Source organism: Homo sapiens, chromosome 6, assembly GCF_000001405.40.
Source record: "Homo sapiens chromosome 6, GRCh38.p14 Primary Assembly".
Taxonomy (NCBI): Eukaryota; Metazoa; Chordata; class Mammalia; order Primates; family Hominidae; genus Homo; species Homo sapiens.
In genome coordinates this window covers 111,354,642-111,365,458 of record NC_000006.12, presented here as the reverse complement: position 1 = coordinate 111,365,458, position 10,817 = coordinate 111,354,642, and the positions used below count along the sequence as shown (strand labels likewise).

At 33.6% G+C, this 10,817-nt stretch overlaps 1 protein-coding gene across 16 annotated transcripts in view; it reads left to right on the top strand.

Moving 5' to 3' along the window:
* Positions 1-10,817, top strand: part of REV3L (REV3 like, DNA directed polymerase zeta catalytic subunit) — a 184,679-nt gene that overhangs the window by 118,253 nt on the left and 55,609 nt on the right. For 7 of the 16 annotated variants that reach the window (NM_002912.5, NM_001286432.2, NM_001286431.2 and 4 more), the window contains 4 exons: positions 115-194; positions 1,481-1,606; positions 6,445-6,637; positions 8,334-8,445. In NM_002912.5, the coding sequence (NP_002903.3) occupies positions 115-194; positions 1,481-1,606; positions 6,445-6,637; positions 8,334-8,445 (511 nt within the window). Of the gene's footprint in view, positions 1-114; positions 195-416; positions 481-1,480; positions 1,607-6,444; positions 6,638-8,333; positions 8,446-9,625; positions 9,704-10,817 lie in introns of those variants that run through there. The other 9 variants (XM_011536029.4, XM_011536028.3, XM_011536032.3 and 6 more) reach the window with 4 other exon arrangements.

Sequence of the window (10,817 nt, the reverse complement as noted above, 5' to 3'; positions counted from 1 at the left end):
CATAGGACAGCACCCACAAGTGGTACTTAAGTGTTTGGAACAACAAAAGGTTTTTTAAAAACCAGAAGCAGGTAATTTTGATATACATGTTAAATATTAAATTTCTTTCTACAGAACCAAAAACACAGAAGTTGAGTAATAAGAAAGGAAGTAATACTGACACTCTTAGAAGAGTACTGTTAACACAAGCAAAGGTAACTATACTAAACATTTTTAAAGATCAGTGGAAGAGCCAGTCTTTTTCCTAGATTTCAGTTAGATAATTGTTAACTTTGTCTCAATTAAAAAATTTTGGTTACTTAAATTTTTGCATCATTATTTGCATATCTTTGAGACAACAAAAATTTGCCTTTTTTTAGTTTTTTTTTTGATGTTGGGATCTAAAAGATTCTTATATGTAAATACAAATATTACAGAGAAAGTGAATATGATAGCCAAAATGTGGATTATGAGGATACAAATACATTAACTGATTACTGGCAAAATCAGAACAATCCAATGACAGCAGAGCTCAAGTAAGTGATTTTTGATCCCACCAAAAATATATCCTTTTTCTTGGTTTATTACTTTTTTCTAAAATATAACCTTATTGATTTTTTAAAATTTATTTTACTAAGTAGTAAAAGAAAGCAACATTATTTACTACTGAAACTCTGGAAAGTCACAAATGTCTTTATTCAAATACTAAAAATATGACAAAACTTAGAATTATATGGTTATGTGAAAGAAGTATACATTAGACATACATCCTTGGAAATATATGCTAGAAATCACTTATATATTGGCCACTTCTTATAAATGTCATTAACTACATAAAATATATTTTAATATTTCTGAGATTATCAAACTTTTTAAACTTTCATTTATAAAATACTGTTGAATTACAAGCTATATATATTAAAAAATACTATATCAGTGTGTTGTGAACATAACACTTTGGGGAAAACAGTTAATAGATTTAGAAATCAGAAAAAATAATTTTGTAAGAAATGGAAAGATTCCATTTTTTTCTGAATCTTTGAAGATTACATTGTTTTATTTAATTCATCTTTCAGACACATGTTATATTAGAGTAAAATACAAATCAGTATTTCAAATCTTTTACAAACTTTAGCCAAAGTAGTTGGAAATATATTGATTGCTTGCTTGTCTTTCTTACTTCCAAGAAAGGTCAAGATAAATGTCCATGTGGTATAAATGTCAACTCCCTACAAAACTGTTATTTTCAGTATTGAGGGCTTCTGAACTGAGAGATAACATATGGTTTGCTTATATTTCTACATGTATCCAGTTCTGATATCTTTGTTAGCATGAAAATAACATTAATAAAATACAGTTTGTTCTTGAACTTAGAGATGATATTAGTTTACCATTTATTACTAAACACATAAAGCATATTATCTGAGAATAAGTAATCAAAAGAAAAATGATTGCTCATGTATCTTTTTCTGGCTGTGTGTGTGTGTGTTTTTTTTTATAGAATCAATTTGCAGCAGTAAATACCCCACAGAAAGAAACTTCTCAGATTGATGGACCATCTTTAAACAATACTTACGGTTTCAAAGTCAGCATACAAAACTTACAGGAGGCAAAAGCTTTACATGAGGTAAAACTGCAACAGTAAGGACACATACATTGTGTTCAGTTTAACTCCTGTTTTATTCTATAAAACAAGTATGGAATTTTTTTAACAAGGGAGGAGTATATTGAATTCTATCCTATTAATCTTCATCTTGTTCTCATTTTACTATTTTGTATATTTACATGTTTATGTACAATACATAAACTTAAAGCATTTAAGTTGCTGAGACTGCTTTGTGATTTCATATCTTTCACAAATCTCATAACTGAAATTCAGCTTATGGACATTAAAATAAGAAAAGATTTTTGGGAGGTGGAGGTGGGATGATCCCTTGAGTCGAGGAGTTTAAGACTATCCTGGGCTACATAGGAAGACCCTGTCTCTACCAAAAAATAAAAATAAAATTAGATGAGCATGGTGGCGCGCACCTATAGTCTCAGCTACTTGGGAGGCTGAGGTGGGAGGATCACTTGATCCTGGGAGTTCGAGGGTGCAGTGAGCTGTGATTGCGCCACTACACTCCAGCCTGGGCTACAGACAGAGCAAGACTCTGTCTCTTTGGGGAAAAACAAAAAAAAGAAGTAAGTCTGTATTTTGGGGATTATTATATTAAGATGTTATGTCACATCTGAAATGTGATATTTACTTGTATTTTCTGTTTGATTGGCTGAGTGGATTAGAGCTTGCTACAAAAGAGGATAAATTCATTCACTCATATACTCTCTACTTAATCCAGCTATCTTCACAGCACAGGCTGCCTGCCAAAGACTAGGACTTTGCAAAAATATACATCAGCTACAGTATGCATTGGAAAGAATATGTGAATGGGTCACTGTAAATTTATTTGTATGCAGAAAACAAACTCAAAGCACATATCTGACTGGCAGTAAGATAGAAATTGGAGTATGTTTTCATTGTTTACACCTGTGCTGTCGTATGGTAGCCGCTAGCAGCATGGATATTGAGAACTTAAAATTTGGCTTATACAACTGAAGAACTGAATTTTAAACTTTATTTAATTTTAATTTAGATTTTAAAACATAGTTGACTCAAAGTATGTTTGGAACGACTTAGGTATGTAATACTATTTTTTACTCTTAAGTTGTATGAAATTACAGATCAAGTATTTCTGTAGAAAATTTAGCGTGCACAGTGAGATATACTAGAAGGATAAAGTACATACTCATTTCAAAGACTTCATGGAAAGAATAATTTAAAATATTTTGTTAGTAATTTTAATATTGATTACATGTTGAAAGGATAATATTTTAAATATATTGGATCAGATCAAAGTGTTTTTAAATTAACCTATTTTTATTTTTTTAAATGTGACTACTAGAAAACTTTAAGTTACATGTGACTTTCATTATATTTCTATTGGACAATGCTAGTTTTATACAGTCACTTTATGTCTTTGCTTTTAAAGCAGAGGATTAGTAACCACCTTTAAGTTATAATTCAATTTTTAAGTGTGGTTTTTTTTCTCAAGTCAATTCTGTTGTAAACTGTTCTAGAGATTAGATTAACATAAACTGAGGGAAAAATTTTAATATTGTCCTCCTTTGTTCTTCACATTTGAACTGAGAATTATGTTTTTTTAGAATTAGATTGGAACATAGTCTCTCCCTCATTTATTCATTTGCACATTTTTCTCATTCAGCAGCATTCATTCAGTTTCTGTTTTATACCTAGGTCTATACTAGCCCCTGAAGCCTAGATAAATTAAGTGATAAATTCAGTAATACATACCATCAAATGCAAACTTGAAATTAGCAAATTTTTAAAAACTTTTTTAAAAATATGTATTAAAGCAAATTTGATAGACCATAGCAAAAAGACATGTTACATTTGATTATTCTCTTATTTGAAAAGTACGCTTTTCTACATTTTCCTAGGTAACCCTGTTTCAGAACCATGGGCCCTCTGGAAGTTAAAATCACTCTGGAGGTCTCACTGGTTGCTCTGACAGCTTCTTCCTCCCGATAACCGGCTTTCCTCATCTCAAGGCACATTCCAAACTGCCGCCCGGTGGTTGAAACAGGGAATAAACCAAAGAAAAAATACTGTTCTCTTCCTTTCTCTAGGAAATTATGCTTGTGGCATTTTCTCCCTCTGTTTCCATTACCCTAGGATAATCTCTCTTTCTTCTGCACATCAGTACTCAGTGCAGAAGACAAGGGTTGTAATCTTTGTCCCCCTTCTCACCTGCCTCTTGCCTAGTCACACTCACTAAATCTCTCAAGCCATGTCTTTATATAGTTTGCTTTAAAAAAATACCCCCTAAGCACAGTAATGCATTTTGTTATTAAGGAATAGAAATGCAAATTTTGAGTGTGAAAATTTGATCTAGTAAACAAAAATCAACCTCTAAGACCCTTTTAACCTAAAATTGTTTTCAGAGTCTTCATGTCTTTTCATATGTTCATCCCTTTCTTTTTTTTTTTTGTTTTTTTTTTTGTGTGTGTGTGTTTTTTGTTTTTTTTTGTTTTGTTTGAGACATAGTCTCACTCTGTCACCCAGGCTGGAATGCAATGGCACAATCTCAGCTCACTGCAACCTCCACCTCCCAGGTTCAAGCAGTTCTCCTGCCTCAGCCTCCCTAGTAGCTGGGATTACAGGCATGCGTCACCACACCCGGCTAATTTTTGTATTTTTAGTAGAGACGGGGTTTCGCTACATTTGCCAGACTGGTCTCAAACTCCTGACCTCAGGTGATCCACCTGCCTCAGCCTCCCAAAGTGCTGGGATTACAGGCATAAGCCACCGTGCCCGGCCTCATATGTTCATCCCTTTCTAATGAAACTGGTTGTTTTGTTTTATTTGGGTTTGTGGGAGGAGTTTTCCATTTAAAAATTTTTTATTTACTAAATTAATGCATGCTTATTGTTAAAATTAAGTTCTGAAGAGTATGCATTTAAAAGTAAAAGTTTTTTCCCTTAGCTCTCCATTTCATGTGGTTTGATTTTTTTTTTAATACTAATATTTTAAAGTAGAAACAGCAGTATATGTTTCTGAGGAAAGTGGTAGATTTGTATTTGTTTTATTATTATGCCTTATACATGCATAATTGATGTTCTTTATATTTTAAAAAGTACTTAGTGGCCAGGCAAGGTGGCTCACACCTGTAATCCTAGCACTTCGGGAGGTTGAGGCAGGAGGATTGCTTGAGGCCAGGAGTTCGAGACCAGCCTGAGCAACATAGTGAGGCCCCATCTCTACAGAAGTTTTTATAAATTAGCTGGCCATGGTGATATGTACCTATAGTCCCAGCTAGTAGGAAAGCTGAAGTGAGTGGATCACTTGAGCCCAGGAGTTCAGGGCTGCAGTGAACTATGATCACACCATGGCATTCCAGCCTGGGCAACAGAGAGAGACCCTGTGTCTAAAAAAAAAAAAAAAAAAAAAAGATTATTTAACAAATTTACAATGAGCACATGCAATAGTATATATACCAAAAATACTCAATCAGGACAAAAAAATTTGCAATGAAAAGTAAGCTTCCCTCCTACTTTAGGCTAGCAATTTCTTTCCCCCAAAGCAATAAGTATGTCTGCATTTTTATGTCACTTTTCAGAAATTTTCTATGCATGTGCTTCCATTTTTTCATGTATAGAAGTTTACTGTGTTTACTGGTTCCATGTATCAGTGTATTATAGTGATCTTTTTATATTAGGACATACAGATCTGCCTCATTCCCTTGAAAATCTTAAAGGTTACAGAATATTCCATTGTGTGTATCCTTTATGGATACCACATAATTTATGTAACCTGTCCCCAACAGGTAAACATTTAGTTTTTTTCCAGTCTTTGCTATTCTCGAGTAAACATCCTTGTTGTGTATATTTTATCTACATGTATGAGTGTATCTGTCTCTAGGATAAATTTTCAGGAGTAGGATTGCCACATCAATGGATTTTAATTTTGATAGAGATTTACCAAATTCTACTCCTGTCACTAGTGAGAAACTTGAATTTACATTTCTTCAACAGTTTGCATGCAAGATAATACAAAACACAAATCCTTTGTTAAATTTATATGATCTGAATAATTACCAATATTGAAACAGGAATCTGTTTTCCATTGCCAGGTACATGTACATGATAAAAAGATGAGGTATAATTCTAGCTATAATCATGAATTCAACCTATATTTTGTTTTTCTTATTTACTCTGTCTTGATTTTAGAAAGAAAACTAAGAATTACAGTTAAAAGTTTATATTGGCATAGAAAAATAAGCATGAAAAGCAAATATTAACTTTTTTGCATTATATGTTAAAGAGAAAATGTGCATGTGTAAAAATCTGGCTGTTGTGTAGTTGATACCATAACAGTTCTTTTTTTTTTTTTTTTTTTTTTCAGGAAAAACTATAATTAAAAATCTGCCTAGTGTATGCAAAAGTCTAAGTTTAAGTAGCCCTCAAGTAGTAGTGAATTAATTGGTAGGAAATTTGAATTTTAAAAAAGCTCTCTTTTTACTTTAAACTACAGGTAAAACTATATAGTTTAGCTAACTACATGAAGAGTAAAACGTGACAGACTTTGGTTTCATTGTATAACTACTTGGACTAGTCATTCTCTTTCTCAAACAGGCATTGAGAGATCCTGCATATATTTGAGAAAAATAGTCTAAATATTGTCATTGAGAGCAGATTTTCTGAAATAACATCATGAATTGATTTAATCTAATCTTGGGATTAAAAATCTTTCGTTTTAATATATGGAGTGCTGCTGAGCTGTGACTTTGTCCTTTATGTCCATTTTTTCTGTAATCTTACATACATATTTCCCTAGAGCCTTACATACTTCTTTGAGCATGTCTTTAAAAAATGTTTTAAAAACATAGTATTTATTTGCTTTTATAGATACAAAATCTTACCCTAATCAGTGTGGAGTTGCATGCTCGAACTAGACGAGACTTAGAACCGGATCCTGAATTTGACCCAATCTGTGCTCTGTTCTACTGCATCTCATCTGACACTCCACTGCCAGATACAGAAAAAACAGAACTCACAGGTGTAATAGTGATTGATAAAGACAAGACAGTTTTCAGTCAAGGTATTGTCCATTTTTATTAATGATATACCTGCCCACTCTAGGGTGAATGTTTTAATGGGGAATTCCTGTGCTGAAGATCTAATCTAAGCAAGCATGATGACTCTTTTCTAAAATGTTTGCTGAGGTAGGGGTAGGAGATTGTGTATAACTTTGTCCTAGATTTATTATTCTTACTTGGATTAGTCAGAAGCAGCCAGGCACAGTGGTGCCTGCTTATATATAGTCCCAGCTACCTGGGAGGCTGGGCAACAGGATTGCTCGAGCCCAGGAGTTTGGGGCTGTAGTGCACTATGATTGTGCCTGTAAATAGCCACTGCATTCCAGCCTGGGTAACATAGCAAGACCCCATTTATTTATTCATTTTTTAAGTCAGAAGCAATGCAATATAAAGATCTTAATATTTATAATTATCTTATATAATTTGTTCTAAGTATTATTTTATAAAAATACTTACTACTAATACAGAGTCCACCTTATTATGTATCCCTAGATTAGGTGCACAGTCTTCCTTATGTATGCATATGCAGGTATTTTCCTGCTGATAGAGGGTTTATCTTACCACTATAAGTTAATGGTTTATAAGATACTTTTAAGATATATTCTTACTTTGCTTATATCTCTTTATCTTTCTTTCTAAATAATATACTTTTGGTTCAGAGGTTCTTCATATAGAATGCCATATAAGGCATTTTATAAAATACCTACTGTCCCTCTGCAGCTTTCAGTGGTCACCATTACAAGTGAATTCAGTCCACTGAGGAGGAAGTCTTAGCACAGAATACAACCATATTAAGAATTTGCAATTTATTCAGTGATGTGCTTGAGCTGACACATACCAGCTCACAAGCCAGTTCTTGGATTTTCATGAATTTTTCAAACTAGTTGCTGTCACTTTGGCAGTTGGAAATCAGTCATAGGGTGGGGGAGGGGTCCTTACATCATGAAATAGGCCAGCACTACAAATTAAGGCTTTCTTTTTTTTCCTGCAGAAGTGGTGGTTAAGCATTTTCATCATACCAGAGATTAAAATGTCCTGTGCTAAGCAAAGCTCTCCTGCTAGGAAGAGTAAAGACAGAAACAAAGTAATACAGTTTCTTCACAAGAGATATGTTATTTTCTTTTTTTTTTTGAGACAGAGTCTCGCTCTGTTGCCCAGGTTGGAGTGCAGTGGTGCGATCTCCGCTCACTGCAAGCTCTGCCTCCCGGATTCACGCCATTCTCCTGCCTCAGCCTCCCGAGTAGCTGGGACTACAGGTGCCCGCCACCATGCCCAGCTAATTCTTTGTATTTTTTAGTAGAGACGGGGTTTCACCATGTTAACCAGGATGGTCTTGATCTCCTGACCTCGTGATCCGCCTGCCTCGGCCTCCCAAAGTGCTGGGATTACAGGCGTGAGCCACTGCACCCAGCCAGTGATATGTTATTTTCTAGGGAATTTTATGAATGCAGCCTTTTCAGGAGAATAGCTGAAAATACAAAATTTGAATTTTCAGTTGTATATTAAACTAAAAAATCTTTTGAGAGTTTTTTAAAGACATTGAGTTAGTTATGTTTTCACTTGGGGAGATGTTTTCTTAATTTGAAATATTTCAGTAGTACAATTTTACTTAAAAGTAGAGGATAATATTACTTTTATATTATGAAGGTATATTATTATATAATGTTATATATAATAGACATTTTGTTTGTTTTTTAGATATCAGATATCAGACTCCATTACTTATTAGATCTGGAATTACAGGACTCGAAGTCACCTATGCTGCTGATGAGAAGGCACTTTTTCATGAAATTGCAAATATAATAAAGAGGTATTGTTTTGTATATCTGATTTTTCCAGTTTTATTCAGAGAGTCGTTTCATGCTATTGCAGATAATAGTGAAGATAAAAGTAAAGGTAGGAAGAAAGCGAATCCCTTCCTATGACCCTTGAAAGCAGAGTTACTCTTGGGAAGATTTTATACTCACTTCCCACCACCATCACTATTTTCATCAGACAAGGGATAGGAAAAGCAGTGTTCTGTTCTCAAGATTGAGGGGCCAGTGAAAGACAAATATTTGTTTAGCCTCTAACTAACTTCCCAGTTGTACTTGAGGTTGGTTTTTCTGTGGTGCTGAAATAATGGAGAACTGTATAAAGTTCCATTGTATTATTCATTAACTAGGTTTCTACCTTGGGAGCCAGCCACCATTTCAGTACCTTTTTTTGGTTTGTTTTTTCTTTTTTAAAGTTTTCTGAGTTCTAAACAAGCCAATATTTTCAAAAAGCTTTGGGATGCATTCTCTGTATAAATTTATCTGTTCATAAATGTAGGATTATCTATTACATACTCTTGTGCACAGAGCTCCTTAAAAAATCTCTTTTGACCATTTGGTAGTCGGTCCTCAGTCCGATAGTAGAATCTTGTCCAAGTTTATGAAAAAAAATTTTTAACAAAAATATTTTAATTTAAAAATAAAATCATTAAGTGGATAATTTGCATTTTCTCAACAGTGTAGCTCTTGGTAGCCATGGACTCTCTTATTAAATGCTTCACTTTGTAGAAACTTAAGGATTCTGCCCATTGCTAGGTTTAGGGTTTTAGATGCCTAAAGCAAGATAGAAGACATTCTTTGGATCCTGATATACAGATAAAAGCTGTCCATGAGCATGTTGTTATACTCACCCTTTTTTGTTTTGCTTATATAGTTGAACTTCATCCTATAAAAACTAAATCAGTATTCTACATGAAAAATTAAGATGATATTCTACAGACTTGTCATCAGATTGAATCCCAGATGGGTTAACATAAACCATTCTGAGAATTAGAAAACCAAAACATGTGTTTTCTACAAAACAAAATTAAATGACAGAGCATCAAAAATAGTATGCTACTACCCACGACTCTGAAGGAAAAAAAGTATTTTTACTATTTATAGCACTGGTGACTAGATAGATTCCCATCTATTTGAGTCTTGTCATTGTCAGTCCTACCTTTTATCTTCTCACAGAGGTTGTCATCAACATGTCAGATGCTTTCAGTATCCACACTTCTTTTATTTCTGCAAGCAACTCAGAGAAAGAAATATGTAAGAGTTTCAGTCAATACTATTTTGTGTACCAGCACATGTCCAGTAATGTCCCTGGGCTTGTATGCTTGCCTTTTCCTTGTTGGGTATATTCCCAATGATAGGATTACCTGCCAACATTGAGAATTTTGTTAGTCATTTGCAAGTATAATAACTTTCTTAAATGTCCATAAAATGAAATGTACTAGTAATTAAGGAAAATGGGGTAAACAAAACTGTCATAAAAAGAAAAATGCTTAAATGTCAACTTTTCAATTCTATAGTGTTCTTTATATATTAGTCCAAACAACTCTGCAAAAAGATTGATTATTTCATTCTTTCACCCTATTTGTTGTGTACCTACTCAGCACAGCCTTTGGAGTCAGCCAGCACTGTGTTTCTGTCTTGAATAAGTTGCTTAACTCTCTCAGCTTTGTTTTCCTAATCTGTAAAATGGGTAGATAATACACATAAAACTCTTAAACTCAGGTCTGGCACATAGTGAGTACATAAATGTTAACTGTGTGTAAGGGGCAGTGCTAGGTACTAATATAAAAATAAATATATCTTTATTTTTCCATTTTTAATATTGACTTCCTCAAGTGACAAACACGAAAAGTAATATAAAGTGATATTAAACAAGTAAAACCTCATCTATAATCTTGTCACAATCATTTTCCTCTTTCTGTATTTCCTTGGACTATTAACTTCACTTTGCGCAGTCTCCCTAACTTAAATATAACTATGATTCTTCCCTTTTCCTCTTCCCTAAATGCTATTACATTTATATTACATCATATCCATTTAACCTCAGAATTCTTTTTCAAGATGATTCCTTCCCCTCCGTGCCCCTTGCCTCTACTAGAGTACCCTTATCTGTCATGTGTGTAGATGGTAGTGAGTTACTTAAAATACTAACTGTGAAGCAGCTTTTTTCTGCCTAAGCAAATGGAACCATTTACCTATTTCTTCTGCTTCTATTTTATCCACAGTTTTGGGTTGTTTTCACCACTAATCCCATCTACCCAACTTTATTCTTTCTGTAACTTTCAGAAACCTGATAGAATGAATAAAACCCACTAGAAATTGAAGAACAAGTCATCAAGACCTTGTTATTGTCTCCAAATGTTTTTAG